Source organism: Homo sapiens, chromosome 9, assembly GCF_000001405.40.
Source record: "Homo sapiens chromosome 9, GRCh38.p14 Primary Assembly".
NCBI lineage: Eukaryota > Metazoa > Chordata > Mammalia > Primates > Hominidae > Homo > Homo sapiens.
The window spans coordinates 96,543,900-96,561,262 of NC_000009.12; the positions used below are offsets into that span (position 1 = coordinate 96,543,900).

At 41.1% G+C, this 17,363-nt stretch overlaps 1 protein-coding gene across 35 annotated transcripts in view; it reads right to left on the bottom strand.

Moving 5' to 3' along the window:
• Positions 1-17,363, bottom strand: part of CDC14B (cell division cycle 14B) — a 128,905-nt gene that overhangs the window by 52,961 nt on the left and 58,581 nt on the right. For 31 of the 35 annotated variants that reach the window (XR_007061367.1, XR_007061366.1, XR_929864.4 and 28 more), the window contains exon 5: positions 7,897-7,973. The exons of the other annotated variants lie outside the window; for them this stretch is intronic. Coding sequence is in view for 25 of the 31 variants with exons in the window: in XM_047423999.1 (XP_047279955.1) it covers positions 7,897-7,973 (77 nt within the window). In the remaining 6 variants the exon portion in view is untranslated. The remainder of the gene's footprint in view (positions 1-7,896; positions 7,974-17,363) is intronic. 35 annotated transcript variants of the gene reach the window in all.

The window sequence follows — 17,363 nt, forward strand, 5'->3', positions numbered from 1 at the left end:
AACCTTACTACTGTACACTTAAGATTAGTGTTTTTGAGGCCGGGCGTGGTGGCTCACGCCTGTAATCCCAGCACTTTGGGAGGCCGAGGCAGGTGGATCACGAGGTCAAGAGATTGAGACCATCCTGGCCAACATGGTGAAACCCTGTCTCTACTAAAAACATAAAAATTAGCCGGGCATGGTGGCGCGCACCTGTAGTCCCAGCTACCCGGGAGGCTGAGGAAGGAGAATCACTTGAACCTGGGAGGCAGAGGTTGCAATGAGCCAAGATCGCACGCCACTGCACTCCAGCCTGGTGACAGAGCGAGACTCCCATCTCAAAAAAATAAAATAAAATAAAAAAAGATTAGTGTTTTTGTTAAAAACTATAAGTTATACATTAACTTAAAAGGGGAAAATGAATATTCCACAAATGTTAGAATAAAAACTAAACCACATTTTAAACTTTTAATTCTTGCTCAAACCTTAAGGGCCAAAACTACAGCAATGAGGGCAAGAAAAGGCATCCTTTTTAGCTAAAATCGTCTTCAATGTTACTGACTGAGCTGCTTAGAATTACTGAGCTATGCGAACCTTCATGAGGACAGAATGCAGGGTCTTGTTTTCTTTTTTTGAGACACGGTCTCACTATGTTGCCCAGGCTGGAGTGCAGTGGTGCAATCATGGCTCACTGCAGCCTTGACCTCCTGGGCTAAAGCGATCCTCCCACCTCAGCCTCTGGAGTAGCTGGGACCAAAGGTGCACACCACCAGGCCTGGCTAAGTTTTCGTATTTTTTGGTAGAGTTGGGGTTTCACCATGTTGCCCAGGCTGGTCTCGAACTCCTGAGCTCAAGCACTCTGCCTGCCTCAGCCTCCCAAAGTGCTGGGATTACAGGTGTGAGCCACTGCGTTCAGCCAACACAAGGTCTTAGAACACACCATTTTTGTTCTGTAAGGTTCTGAAGTGAAAAACTTCTCTTCCACATCCTAGAAAAAGTCTTTAACCTAAAAGGCCACGATTTTACCAACACTTTATTGGCAATATTCAGAAAGAAAAAAACAAAAGGACTTCCAGCAGTGGTCCCCAGGCCAGCAGCACCAGGACCACCCCACCTGTTAGAAATGCAAATTCTCAGGGCTACCCCACATCTACTGAATCAAAGTTCTCGGGATAGGGCCAGGTAATTTGTGTCTTAACAGGTCCTCTAGTTGTCTGTGATTGTGTTCAAGTTTATGAATCACCAACCTACAAATCAACACAAATCCTGGTTTTGTAGAAATAGGGTGTTCATGGAATAAAGAACCCATTTAGGTAGAGAAACTAAGGCAGGAAAATGAAGTACTTTAGCCTAAATCAAATCAAAATTATCAATGGAAATGGGGTAAACCCTCAAGTTGGATCCCAATGATTTTAACCATGTCTTCTCTGTGAAGGAGTATGATTATTTTCTTTTTTTTTTTTTTTTTTGACAGTCTCCCCCTGGAGTGAGTGCAGTGGCGCGATCTTGGCTCACTGTAAGCTCCACCTCCTGGGTTCACAACATTCTCCTGCCTCAGCCTCCCAAATAACTGGGACTACAGGCGCCTGCCACCACGCCCAGCTAATTTTTTTGTATTTTCAGTAGAGATGGAGTTTCACTGTGTTAGCCAGGATGGTCTCAATCTCCTGACCTCGTGATCCACCTACCTTGGCCTTCCAAAGTGCTGGGATTATAGGCGTGAGCCACTGCGCCTGGCTTGATTATCTTCTTAACCTACTGATAATCTTTTCCAATCAAGTTAAAGACATGTTGATTCAGTCTCTGTGACATTTTGGCAAATTTCTTCAATGCTTTTTTTTTTTTTTTGAGAACCTACTGTGGGGCACAGCCCCGCTCCAATCTGTGATGATTTCACACGCTTTCATCTGGGCCCTGCTGAAGTCCTGCCTCATACATCATAGAATCTGAATATACGACAAGAATCTTTGCTCACTCAAGTGTATTTCATTAGCACCTCCAATTTTAGACACACCCACATCACATCTTCCTCCCACCTTGCATTCAGCCTTCTTCCAATAGGCAGAACAGCAACTCTGAGGCTCAGTTTATAAGCCTTGGGCAGTGGGGAGGGATCCTTGTCACCAAGATCATTTAACAAATTTGGAAAACACGTAAGAATCAATAAATGGGCACTGCTTAGAAACTGCACAACAATGTCAAATACTAGTTTTAAAGAATGGCAGCTTTCGTAACAGCTCGTATTCACCACGGCCAAAAACTACGAATGACCCAAATATCCATCAAAAGGACCACAGGCAAATAAATTGTGGTATACTCATAGACTGGAATGCTACAAAAGGAATAAAAAAGGATGAACTACTGATACCTTCCACAACACAGGTAAATCTCATAGACATTACATATGTGAAATCCAGTTGACAGCTCCCCAAAATGCATACCAGTAATATCAAGTTCAAAGGCAAGCAAAACTGATAGTGGTAGAAGTCAGAGCAATGATTAGCTGGGGGTGATGACTGACTGGAAAGGGGTGGGAGGGAAATCTAGGAGACAGAGAATTTTTTTTTTTTTTTGCGGGGAGTGGGGTGGGGACGGAGTTTCGCTCTTGTCGCCCAGGCTGGAGTGCAATGACACGATCTCAGCTCACTGCAATCTCCGCCTCTCAGGTTGAAGTGATTCTCGTGCCTCAGCCTCCCAAGTAGCTGGGATTACAGGTGTGCACCACCATGCCCTGCTAATTTTTGTATTTTTAGTAGAGACAGGGTTTTACCACGTTGGCCAGGCTCATCTTGAACTCCTGACCTCAGGTGATCCACTTGCCTCAGCCTCCCAAAGTGGCAGGATTACAGGCGTGAGCCACCGCGCCCGGCCACGACAGTGATTTTTAAACATGTAGGTAAATGGCCGGGCTCGGTGGCTCATGCCTGTAATCCCAGCACTTTGGGAACCTGAGGCGGGAGGATCATGAGGTCAGGAGATTGAGACCATCCTGGCTAACACAGTGAAACCCCGTCTCTACTAAAAATACAAAAAATTAGCTGGGCGTGGTGGCAGGCGCCTGTAGTCCCAGCTACTTGGGAGGCTGAGGCAGGAGAATGGCGTGAACCCAGGAGGCGGAGCTTGCCGTGAGCCAAGATCGTGCCACTGCACTCCAGCCTGGGCGACAGAGCAAGACTCCGACTCAAAAAAAAGTAGCTAAATGACAGTCAACTTAAAAGGGGGAAGGTTGGAATATTTAACAAATATTAGTTAAAGGCCAGGTACTATATCAAGTGTTTGTTTTTTTTTTAAGAGACAGGGTCTTGGCCAGGCACAGTGGCTCATGCCTGTAATTCCAGCACTCTGGGAAGCCGAGGCTGGTGGATCACCTGAGGTCGGGAGTTCAAGACCAGCCTGGCCAACATGGCAAAACCCCATCTCTACTAAAAATACAAAAAATTAGCCAGGTGTGGTGGCGGGCACCTGTAATCCCAGCTACTCAGGAGGCTGAGGCAGGAGAATCGCTTGAACCCAGGAGGTGGAGGCTGCAGTGAGCCGAGATCACACCAATGCACTCCAGCCTGGGTGACAGAGCGAGAGTCTGTCTTAAAAAAAAAAAAAAAGATACGGTCTTGTTCTGTTGTGCAGGCTGAGTGCAGTGGCATAATGAAAGCTCACTGAAGCCTCCTAGGCTTGAGGGATCCTCCTGCCTTAGTCTCCCAAGTAGCTAGGACTACAGACACATGCCACCCTGCCCAGCTAATTTTTTTTTCCCCAAAGAGAAATGGTCTTGCTATGCTGCAAGGCTGATCTTCCAAATCCTGGCCTCAAGCTATCCTCCTGCCTCAGCCTTCCGAAGTGCTGGAATTATAGGCATGAGCCACCATGCCCAGCCTATACCAAGTGTTTTATATGCAGGATGTCACTTCATCCTCACAACTCCTTGAGAGAGAATGTATTATTGTTTCTGTTTCTGTTTTTTTTTTGAGATGGAGCCTCGCTCTGTTGCCCAGGCTGGAGTGCAGTGGCACCATCTCAGCTCAATGCAAGCTCTGCCTCCCGGGTTCACAGCATTCTCCTGCCTCAGCCTCCTGAGTAGCTGGGACTATAGGCGCCCGCCACCACGCCTGGCTAATTTTTTGTATTTTTAGTAGAGACGGGGTTTCACCGTGTTAGCCAGGATGGTCTCGATCTCCTGACCTTGTGATCTGCCCACCTCAGCCTCCCAAAGTGCTAGGATTACAGGCGTGAGCCACAGCGCCCAGCCTATTGTTTCTGTTTAAAGACTAGGAGACCAAGGCTCAAATCTGTAAAGGACCACAGAGATGTCAGTAGCAGAGCTGACAGCAAGACTCCCATCTGTCTGATGTCAAGTCAAGCTATTAACAAATATACAATACTACCTCTCAAGAAAACAGGAAGCAGAGGCAAGCCCCACACACACAAAAACAACTAAGAAGCAAAGAGTATTATAACAGATAATACCAGAGAACAGAAATACACACTGTTCATAACAATGATCCTATGATATTTAAAAAAAATTAAACTATATTTTATACTATTTAATTATGCAGACCAGACACAGAGAAATATTTAATATAACTCAATAAGAAATCATATACACACATACACACACACATACATACACACACACTTTAAAACTCAGTGGTTAAAGAAGGCTGGGCACAGTGGCTCACCCCTGTAATCCCAGCACTTTGGGAGGCCAAGGTAGGCGGATCACTTCAGGCCAGGGGGTTGAGACCAGCCTGGGCAACTTAGTGAAACCCCATCTCTACTAAAAATACAAAAATTAGCCGGGCATGGTGGCATCTGCTCTAGAGGCTGAGACATGAGAATTCCCTGAACCTGGGAGGCAGAGGTTGCAGTGAGCCAAGATTGCGCCACTGAACTCCAGCCTGGGTGACAGAGCAAGAATCTGTCTTTAAAAAAAAAAAAAAGAGAGAGAGAGAATTCTATCTAAGTTGAATTAAATCTAATTAAATAAAACATTGCTACAGAACATAAAAGAACTTATTTGCTATAAATGAATGCCATTCTTGCACAACGTCGTGTTAGCAATACTTTGTTGGTCATATTTATTCTATGTACTTAAAGTGGCAAGATACAAAGAATATAATGTCATTTCTATCAAAATATTATCAGGCTTTATTAATTCTGATTGGACTACTTTCTAATTGATAAGTTCTATAGAACACTATGTGAAGAAGCACTAAATTTAAAAACTAAGTCTATCACAGGTTGACACTTTTGTAAGATAAATATGAAATGCAATAGTACTATACTATTACATATCCAGTAATGCAATAATCTTATTTTTGTGAATAAAATAAATTACTAGAAAAATGAAAGGGGAAAAAAAACAAAATACAAGCTCAAATTTCTTCTACTATTTGATTCTACAGACATAAAATTGCTCTATTCGATAACTATAAATGTTTCTAAAATCTTATTCTCAACTTCTGTATTTATCTCAACACAGGCTGGTAACAAAATGTCACAGATCGGCACCAGTTCACAGGCCACACTTTATGAAATCCCAGCACTTTGGGAGGCTGAGGCGGGCGGATCATGAGGTCAAGAGATCAAGACATCCTGGCCAACATGGTGAAACCCCATTCTCTACTAAAAATACAAAAATTAGCCAGGCGTGGTGGCACACGCCTGTAGTCCTAGCTACTCGGGAGGCTGAGGCAGAAGAATCGCTTGAACTTGGGAGGCAGAGGTTGCAGTGAGTCCAGATTGCACCACTGCACTCCAGCTTAGCGACAGAGCAAGACTCCGTCTAAAAAAAAAAAAAGAAAGAAACACTGTTTAGATAAATCAAATACCTAGTATCTACAATAGAAGAGATTCAAATTCCACAAAGCTGAATGGTTTCTAGCTAAGTCTTGCCTTTTGGAGAATTACTGACTGATGCTCCTGGGACCAAAAGGAACTAACTTCATTTCTCAGTGCCAAACTTTAATAATTTGAAACATAGCAAGGCAGTAAGCAATGCTTATTCTGTTTTTGGCACCTGTATTTAAATTAACTCAAAACGTCTTTTTTCACATCAACAGTGTTCCATGGATCCTTCATTGCACAGTGCGAAATGTGTGAGCATGTTCCTATTTCAGGACCTTGTGCTGTAAATCTAAGAGTGGCATCACAAAAGATTACCATTATAAAGAAGAGTTCTATAGAACAAATGTCACTACATCAAGAGATGACCAAGGTGCCTGTGACTCAAGACCAAAAATACAAGCATTTCTTTTAAAGGAAGAATGTGGTTGCTATTATGTTATAGGTTGAGAAGAATTTTCCAGCTTAGAAAATGATCTTTATTTCCCCCTCTTCCCTTCCTACCCACCTCAAATAAAAGAATACTTAAGATGAGCCATGAGCTAGCAGAAAGGGATGATACTGGGTTCAAGCCAATTCTAATTTGCTCAATCACAGATTTTCACAATTTTTCATGCAGCGTATTACTGAAGTCTTCAGACTGCCCTGACAAATTGTTATTTCATGGAGTAAGTCCACAGGCAGGCCTATAAAGTTATTTGAAAGGGAGATTCTGCCAATAATTAGAAATACCCATCCCAAGGCTCATCTACAATAAAGTCAGATTCACAAACTCCCTTTTTTAAAGTTAGGGCCATACATTCAAAATCAGGCATTTGTGGTTTATGTAACAATCCTAATACGATAAACTAACGAACTAATTAGTTTGAACAATGAACTAATAAGCAATAGTTATTATTAATTTGTGAATGGAAGAACAAGCAGTTTTTGAAAATATCAAAGTCTTCAATGAGTAAAATTATTTCATACATTTATTACCCATTAAGTACCATACAAGTATTTAAACTATAGAGCTAAGTCAAGTATTTTGATAAACGAGCAGAAAAATTTTTAGAACTTGATTTAAGCACTAGTCTTCTAGAAATATCTTCAACACAATCGCATGCTAAGTTTGAGATGATGTCATCCATTCCTGTAGACATCACTAACTACCACCTCTGGAACACAGTGACTTGACTGGTTTTTCTGGAAGTGGTACTGCATTAGCAACCTTATCGACTGTCTCTACTGACTGTGTCCCCAGAAAAAAGGGGTTCATTTTGGTCCCAGAAAGTAACTACTGATTATTGGGAACGTTTCTTAACTTCTCAGGAACCACACTCCTCAGTGGTAGTTTTGAGTACAATAACCCAGGATTCTCACCTGATACAAAGCCTAGGTTTTGGGGTTTGCTTTTTTTTTTTTTTTTTTTGAGACAAGTTATCTCTCTATTGCCCAGGCTTGAGTGCTGTGGTATGACCATAGCTCACTCACTGCACCCTCGAACTCCTAGGCTCAAACAATCCTCCAGCCTCAGTCTCCCAAGTAGCTGGGACTACAGGCATGTGCAACCACGCCTGGCTAATTTTTTTTAAAATTTTTTTATAGAGATGGGGTCTGTCTTTGTTGCCGAGGCTGGTCTGGAACTCCTGGGCTCACGCAATCATTCCACCTTGGCATTCCAATATGCTGGGATTACAGGCATGAGCCACTGTGCCCAGCCAAAGCTTAGTTTTCATCAATGGCAGTAGTTCTCAGCGTAGGGAGATTTTGCTCTCCATCCCCCAAGGTCACTTACAGGGATATATGGCAATGTCTGAAGACATTCTGAGTTTTGACAATTAGAGTGGGTGTGGGGATTTTACCAGCATCTAGTGGGCAGAAGCCACGGAGGCCACTAAACATGCTACGACGCACAAGATAGCCTCCATGACAAAACGTCAACAGTGTCACTGTGGAAAAACCCAGATCTGTGGTGTTATTTGCGCTCATCCTAAAATGACTATTTACCAGATCTTCTTTTTTCAGAAACAACTATCAAGATATTTCTGGCAAGGATCTGATTACCTGAATCTACCACATCATTCTTATATTTACCTGAAAGGAATATAGGATGTCTCTCCAAAGATTAATATTCTATATGCTTCTTCTGGGGTTCTCCCCAAATATATAACCTATGTTTGAAAAAAGAAGAAAAAGGCAATTTATTTCTAAGTGAAGATACAGTGCTGTCACTGCGAAGTAAATTTTGTCCAATTTCCAACCAACTGAGCAGGGTTCTCCAGCCTTCCCCAGGAGCCTAGGAATCACCCAGAATCCTGTCCATAGATTTCTTTTTTGTTTAAATCCTCCATTGCTGGTTTCTGTTGTTTGCAGTATAAGCCCTGACCAACAACTCTTCACAGCAACCTTTTGTGGTAAGAAGCACAGTATTTTAAAAACAGATTTTCCAAATCAAGACGTTAGACTGATCCCATGCTTTTACCTCCCCTCCTTCCTGAAAGTCCACTGAAATGACAGCTAAGCAGCGTGTAGGAGATGGGGATGGGGTTAGACTGGGGTGAGGTGGAAAGAGACACAAAGGCAGAACACAGACTGTGATTAACTCTGTCCATGTAGGTGTGAGGGCTTGCAATACTGAACAAGTTGATTATCAAACTGCACTTGTTTTCGACGCTCATTGACTTCTTTTGTCCTTAGAACTATGCTATGCTTTGACTTTAACCTGGGAGAATACCTCAAGTATATTCTTCAGCATTTGAGGTCTATAGTTGGTATTCCTTGCCTTTCCAAACATTTTTTTTTTCCCTTGACATTTTTTATTTGACTACTATGCGTAGGATTTTTGGTCTGCAGTCATTTCCTCTTGATAGTTTCTAGATAACGTTCTCATGTCTTCTCACTTCTAGTGTTACAGAAGTATTTTACTGATCTAAGTATCTCTGTCTGCTTCTTACAAGTAACCTGTTTGTTCTAGAAATCTGCAGTTTGAGACTTTCACCACCATCTCTCTAAGTAAGTCCTCTGCCTACCCCCTATTACATTTGCCTGGGACTTCAGAACCTTCCTGCAGGGCCCTTTCAACTAATGTACGGAAGGTTGGGGTTGGGGAGGCGGGAGCGGTGGGAAGGAGAAACAGCATTAAATCTGGCACATATATTATCACTAAAATTAGGTTGAACTCCAAAGATTACTTTGGGGAAATAGATTTTAAATTTCACTAATAAAAAAAAAGAAATCACTAAAAAAAGTTAATTGCAAACTTTTTATCTCCATTACTTAACATGATACATGTGACCTGTTTCCACAACCAAATGTGAAGCATTCTGAAGTTGGGACCCATGTCTTATGGTTTCATTACACACCAATCCGATTCACTGATGTACTTAGCTGAACCCAAATCTACTTACAATAGTTAGGAAAATTTTAAATGTTTAATAAAAGTTGATATCAATGTGAAACTATCACTGGACTAAGAGAAATTTTTCAAAGTTCAAAGATCCAGCAAGGATCTTAGAAACTCAGAAACAGACATATCCTAAAACTAGTCATAAGCACTGACTCAGCTTCCAAAGGGCATTTCACCAATTTTCTGACTCAAGACTCATAAACGGAAAATTTTCCCAATGACTGGCCTGTTTCTGTTTCTTTCTTTTCTTTTCTTTTTTTTTTTTTTTGAGATGGAGTTTCACTCTTGTCGCCTAGGCTGGAGTGCAATGGTGTGATCTCAGCTCACTGTAACCTCCACCTCCCAGGTTCAAGCAATTCTCCTGCCTCAACCTCCCGAGTAGCTGGAACTATAGGCGTGCACCACCACGCCTGGCTAGTTTTTTTGTATTTTTAGTAGAGATGGGGTTTCACCATGTTTGCCAGGCTGGTCTCAAACTCCTGACTTCAGGTGATCCGCCTGCCTCGGCCTCCCAAAGTGCTGGGATTACAGACATGAGCCACCATGTCCGGCCTACACACAGATCTTCTAAGCATCAACCTATAAGTCATGAAAATTAAAACATTTAAAAAAATCAGCCTGTTTTTTCCAAATTCCCTTATTCCCTTCCAGTCTCCGATGCATGTATGCCTCTTCTAACACTTACCAGATAACATCAGTAAAGTCTTTCATTTTCTCCATTCTATTTTAAGACTTCCTAGCAGATTAAAAAAAAACAAAAAACAAAACCTAAAACCGGAAGGGTGCGGTGGCTCACGCCTGTAATCCCAGGACTTTGGGAGGCCATCACAGGCAGATCACGAGGTCAGGAGATGGAGACCATCCTGGCTAACACGGTGAAACCCCGTCTCTACTAAAAATACAAAAAATTACCCTGCATGGTGGCAGGCTCCTGTAACCCCAGCCACTCAGGAGGCTAAGGCAGGAGAATCCCTTGAACCCAGGAGGCGGAGGTTGCAGTGAGCCGAGATCGCGCCACTGCACTCCAGCATGGGCGACAGACCAAGAGTCAGTCTCAAAAGGCAAAAACAAAAAAACAAAACAAAACCCTAAAACCAAAAAACAAAACCAAATAAAAAAACACCTTGAAGCCAATAAAAATAAGAATAGAGTCTGATTCATCTGTGTACTAAAATGAAATCTAGAGACCCATTTAGGAATTTCTCTAAATTTCTAAGGCCTTCTCTCAAATTATACAAATTTTTCCTTAAGCACTAATTTAAGATAATTTTTCCTGCTTGTGATTACAGTTCTTTGGGTTCTTTAATTAGTAAAATTGCAATGGTATTACTTTCTCCTAACTTTCAAAGCAAAAATAGTCTGTAATACATTAAGGACTGTGGTTTAGCCTTGGAACACTAGTTTGATTCAAAAAACCACAAGAACAATGTAACATTTTTTTCCTATGGGGGAAAAAACCCCTAAATTCCTGACGATGAACTTTAAAAGACTGTAATTTAAAAATCCAGTTGGGGAATGCTGGCACATAAATAAATAATGTAAAGCATAACTAGATAAACTGAAGGAAGTTTACAGATGCAGAACAAATCCACTTATATAACTATCAAAGATATATTTGCCAATCTATAACTTTTACCTTTTTTTCTTTTTTGGCCAGGCATGAAGGAAGTAACTTTTACTTTTACACCTACTCATCTTGCTGATTCAAAAGGCCTTCCCAAATGAAATCATTCTAAATTTGTTACTAAAGAAGAATCCTATAAATAACTCCTACATTAACACAAATTCTCAGATTAGTAAACTCTAAATTGATGCAACTTATGATCTATCACCGTGCTTCTGGCAGTCTGGACACTTGGCGTTTCTCAAATTCTTTTGATATATTTTCATGAGAAGCTATATATATAGAATGCCCACTCTAATTCCACAGTGCTAGTTAAGAACAGGAAACAACAAATGATGACCAAGAGAGCTGCTGACCAGCTGTGATCGCCAGCTTCCCAGGCAACCCCAAAGAGTCTCATCTGCTGGCATTTCCACCCTTGTGTGGTCCCCTCCCACGGTGAACAGGGTGCCCCTGTGTAACGAACAGGATACTGGAGTAATAGGGTGTGATTTCAGAGGCTAGATCATAAAAGAGGTAGCTCCTGTCATGCTTTCTCTTAGAACCCTCGCTCTGGGTACAGCAAGCTGTTATTTTGGGAGGATACTCAAGCAGCCCACGTGGTATGGAAGAGAGGCCTCCTGCCAGCAATCGGCACTAACCTGCCAGGTATGTGACTGAGCCCCCTTAGACATGGACCCTCCAGGTGAATGCAGCCCAGACACGGTACAGAACCAGACCAGACCCAACCAAGTTAAGCAACTCCCAGATGCCTAACTCATAGACATGGTCTAAGACAATTCGTACTGTTGTTTTAGGTCACAAAGTTTTGCAGTAATTTGCTGGGCAGCAATAGTGTGCAGTAGCACACTCAATTTAAGGAAATGGCCGTTTCCATTTGTTAAAAGTGAATAGACAAATACATGAGGCGTAAGCACAGAGATGCAGCTTAGGAGGCATCAGTAAGACCTTGTTTCTCTAGGATAAAGACTCTCTCTGAACGAGCAAATATCACACAAACACACGCAAATACTGTGGTTGAAAATGCTTGAGACTGGTGTGGTTTTCAAAGTCATGGCACAAAGTTCTTTTTTTGCTGAACAATACCTCAACCATTCCCAGGACTTCCCACCACCCCCACTTTCTAAAATCACCATCTGCATGCCAGAGTCCCTGTGAGAACGCTGGACCCTCGATTACTAACATACGTTTCAAAACCTCGGAGGTATTGAACTAGCAGTGATGGAAGAACAAGCAACAGAAGCAACAGGATCCCAGCTGCATTACTTCTCCTTTCAATGTTTCAATGCTGACAAGCCGGGCCTCAAATCATGGAAACCCAATTAGACATGTGCTTCCTATTTCTACTCTTATGCACAGGATTCTGAAGCTTTATTTATATACTTAGAGAGCCTCTGTACAATTTAGAACCCAAACGTTACACAAGTCATTTCACCCTAGAGCTGAGAGTGACAAAGGATATTGAAATTCCAGCAACAAATGTGGCAGCCTGAGTAACCAGGAAATCCTGGAGAGATGTCACAATGTTTCCAGCACTTAAAGACTCTTGTGACTATTTTCATGTCAGCCAGATGATACAGTCTTTCCTACGCCAAGAACTTGATTGATTATTAAAAAAAAAAATCACTCTCTCCAGATTAACAAAGAATGCTCACAAATCAATGCAAGTTGAAGATAGGCTTACACATTCAACTGCTCAATAAAAAAGGTGAGCAGAGGAAAGAACACAGAGAATAAAAAAGTAAATAAAATCACTTTCATAGCTCCTGCACAAAACTGGTTAAGAAAAAAAACTCGTTAAAAAAAACCTCAGATGAACTTATATTTCAATAGTTTTAACTTTTAAAATTACTTTTACATATATATAATGATATATATAATGATCCTCAATTTCGACAAAATGAAACTGGAAGTTCAGAGTAGCAAACACGTATCTACCAAGTCTGCTAATAAAAATAGTGAATTGGCCCTGGGAATTAGTACACATTTGAGTGGTAGGGACATTTTTTAAAGACCAAGAAAAAAATCTTGATTTTTTAAAAAATGAAATCTCCTAAATTTTAACCACAGAGGAAAAAAAACCCACAACTATTTATAATGCTCTGTGAGTTTCATAAAACTGGCAGGCTACAACTTTCCAGACCTTGGCATCAACTGCTCATCCAAGATCACACCGCCTATTATTGATGGAAGAGGGCCTGCTCCTCTGGCCGTATTTATAGACAGGAACCCATCCTATCTAAAACAATGACCGGAACAAGGATGGGACCCAAAATTCCAGAAAGCTTAACGGATCTGCAGTCAAGGATCTTAAGCTATCAGAGAGCCATTTCTCTTCACTTTTTCCCCAAGTTAACAGCACCCAGCAAGCACCACGGGCAGTGGAAACGCCCGTCAGAAGCCCTCGGGTGGCAAGGGAAGTCAAACTGTGATGCACTGTGAGCAGGGCAGACAGCTGCCTCCCACAGGGCCGGCTCCCAAGGAAGCACTGGCTTCCCACTGAGGGCCTGTGCCGTCCCTTTGCTCAGCCCAGTTCGCCTCACACTAGCTGGGGCCTGGCTACTACTGACGGTTGCCTCGTGCTGTTTGCCCTGCCTTTCACAGACACCCAGGAAGGGTGTTATGACCTCATTCTGTCCTCCAGCCTCTGCTGTCCCATCTGGGCAGCTGTTTGCTGAACTGGATTCTTACCCACTGCGTCTAGATCCTCGTTCTCTGTTCCCTTGTCTTAACTTCCCAACTGATCCTTTCCTCCTGCAGGCACTGGCTATTCTGAGTCCAAGATAATTAAATCATTTAAAAAGTGGGACCACAGATTCAAAAGATCATCATTAAATAACAAAGTCCCTGAGCTCTTATCATAACTGTAGAGGCAATCTCAAATTTAATGCAGTTTAGAATTCTTCTCACAGATTGCTGAGTTAATATATTCTTAAATTTAATTAGTATCATCATTTTCAACATAAATGCTTACAAGGTAAGCCATTCTTACAGCTATAAAAACTGCTTAAACATAAAAAATAATAATATACAGTGATAAATTTTGAACAGGGAACCTACATGTTACAATTAGCTCTACCAAAGTAATCTATTAAACATTAGAGGAAAGCAAATTTGCAAGCTACGTGCCAAAAGTTTGCTTGTGTCATTTATTTTTTACACAAAATGCTTGGCATTTATTTTATACACAGAAAGATGTTAGAAATGGTGGTTAATTTCCCAGGCTAGCCCTCAAAAGTACATTTAACCCATAGAAGAGATGAATACCATGTATCTTCAGAAAATCTAACTGCTGTGGCAGGAAGATGTAACCAAAGTTGAAAGACAAATACCATTATGTTCTCACTCATATGCAGGAGCTAAGTAAGTTGATCTTATGGAGGCCAAGAGTAGAATAAGGGTTATCAGAGGCTGGGAAGGGCGTGTGTGGTCAGGGGGAGTGAAGAGAGGTTGGTTCTTTGGTACAAATGTACAGTTAGAATGAACAAGTTCTAGTGTTAGATAGCACAGTAGTGTGACTATAGTTTACAATAACTTACTGTGTATTTCAAAATAGAAAGGAAGATTTAAAATGCTCTCAACACAAAGAAATGACAAATGTTTGAGGCGATGGATACTGCAACTGCCCTAATTTGGCTGTCACACATTATATACATGTATAAAACTATCACATGTAACCCATAAATATGTACAATTATGTACCAATAAAAAATTTTAAAATTGTACTGTAAACATAAAACATATACGTACACAACATACATCTGTGCATATACACACACGTGCACGTCTTGTTTCTAGAAATATAAAAACTTCTTTTTAAAAGATTTTTTAAATTTCTCAAGAGTGCAAATATGGATTTTGTGTATGACATTTTTACAACAAAATTAACAAAACAAAATTTCCAACTTTTCTTTCCAAAAGGATTTTTATTATGAATTTGTTTTGAAAAGCACTTAAAATTTTCCACTTAAAATTTCACCTTTACTTTGAAATGACAGGTTAAGTATCATTATCCCTCAATCTGGCCAGGTCATAGCCACTGGCTTAAATAGGGCAGCAAACTTATTTTGTAAAACAATATAGTATGTTTACCTTTTTGTGAATAAGCAAACAAACAAAAGCTCAAGTCATCTTTTATATTTTTCAACTCTTACAGTGGTGCAAAAGATTTTTAGCTTCACTCTAATTTGATACCAAAGAGTCTACCATTCAGATAGCTGAATGGGAAAGCCATTTACCAGGCCACATGAAGAGCAATACTTTGAAATACAATAAAGACAAATGAGTACTCAACTCACTCTTCTCACTTCTTGTAACACACATGACGCCTGACCATCTGTCAAAAAGACCAATTGTGGGCATGTCAATTCATATTTTACACATTTTTGAAGCCTCACCTCTTCTGTTTTTAAGATAAAAAATAAATATAACACTTTATTTCCATGCCATAAAGGATTACCTCACACTCTCTGCCCAACCCACATTAGGTCTTTCTGTGTATACAAGGATGAAGGAAACACGTTACTTTCAGAAGCCCTGAATTCAAAAAGGACTGATAAAAATAAACAGAGTCAGTCTATTTGGAATATTTCTTTCCTAAAGATTCTTCCTCCAGATTTTTTTGGTTTTGTTTTAACATTACCATGCCAAGTCGAACACTAAAGAACCTTACTCTCTCCAAAATTCCTGACGACTCCAGAAAACGTTATCAAGGATGCGGATCAGTTTATAGGGAACTAGCACTCATCTCCACAAATCTTTAACCAGAGGATTTAACGTATTTTAACCAGATCAAAGCTTCACTTGCTTTGATGTGTTATCTTTTCAGGTGTCCATATTATATCTTGACACTGCTTTTCTACTATGAATACATTTCCTTTTCTTAGAAGCTTTTCTCCTGCTTTCCTGCCTATCAACATTACAGCTCCCAATTCCTATTTTAGCAGCCAGCTATGGCTGCAAAGGCTTCTGTCACAGCCAAGAGCTATAATCCTCCTGCCAAGCTAGCTCCTCACTGGGTAAGTAATAAATGCGAGTGAAGATCCAAATTTGCTTACCTGGCACTTCCCTAACCAATCAAATCAGTACTAACCTGAAGGTGTGAAATTCTGGAAGGATTTCTAAATCTAAGATATATTAACTATAGAAAAATAAGCTTCTGTGGTCCAAAATACAACCATAAACAAAGTCAAAAGGCCAATATAAAACTGGAAACAAATATGCCAAAAAATTTTCAATACATACGTCAAGGGGTTGTTGTTTGTTCACTAGTAGTTTAAAAACGACAGCAACAAGACTTAAAAAGAGTGATTTCTTATTTATAAACTTATCACACATTCTGTTTCTGTTTTTAAGACAACCCTGACTGAGTTCCCACTATGCCCATAGCCACCTTCAGAGAGGTTCTTCACGCTGTAGTCCTCGTGCCTGGCTCCTCAAGACCCTACCATCTCAGGGACATCTCATCTGACCAGAGACAGCAATTGACCCGGAAGTGGCCCGGTCTGGCCCCTCTGCTTTGGAGTTCTGCTCAGGAGCACTCTCTCCTAGATGGAACTTCAGCCATCCAGACTTTGTCCAGGTCAGTGTAAAGGCAAGATCCACAAAGAACGGTTGGAACTTTTTTCTGTCACACCAAGGACCATTTCTCCAGGGTTCCCTTTAATATTTTATGAATCTCAAGAATTCTGGCTGAATTCCTTTTTCTATAAAGTTGTCATGATTTATGTTAATCTATGAGGTTCCTCTCCCCAGTGACTGGCCAAGTAATAGGACCAAATGTCCCAGTTAAAACACCCACTTCTCCATACTCTTTTTCTTTCTTGGGTTCATACATAGACTTTTCTCTTTCTCTTTTTTTTTTTTTTTTTGAGACGGGGTCTCATTCTGTTGCCCAGGCTGGAGTGCTGTGGTGCGATCTCGGCTCATTGTAACCTCTGCCACCCAGGTTCAAGCAATTCCCTGCCTCATTCTCCCAAGTCGCTGGGATTACAGGCGCCTGCCACCACGCCTGCCAAACTACTCAAACTTTTTTTTTTTTTTTTAAGGCTTTTGCTGCAAGTACGAGAAACACCAAGAGAGGCTGGGAGAAAGGAAAACACCAATACGTCTGGGAAAGCTTATGAAACCAAATTTTAATAGACAATCTATAACCTATGTTTCATACTTTCAGGGATGATAATAAATTTTGAAGTTTTCTCAGAAACTTTTTTTTTCTTTTGGAGACAAAGTCTCACTCACTGTCACCCAGGCTGGAGTGCAGTGGCACGATCTCAGCTCAGGGCAATTTCCAACTCCTGGATTCAAGGGATTCTCCTGCCTCAGCCTCCCGAGTAGCTGGGACTACAGGCATGTGCCACCACGCCCAACTAATTTTTGTATTTTTAGTAGAAACAAGGTTTCACCATGTTGGCCAGGCTGGTCTCGTACACCTGACCTCAAGTGATCTGCCTGCCTCGGCCTCCCAATCAGAAGCATTTAATTCAACTTTTGTGAGCATAAATAGGAAAACAAAACAAAGACCTTAACCAC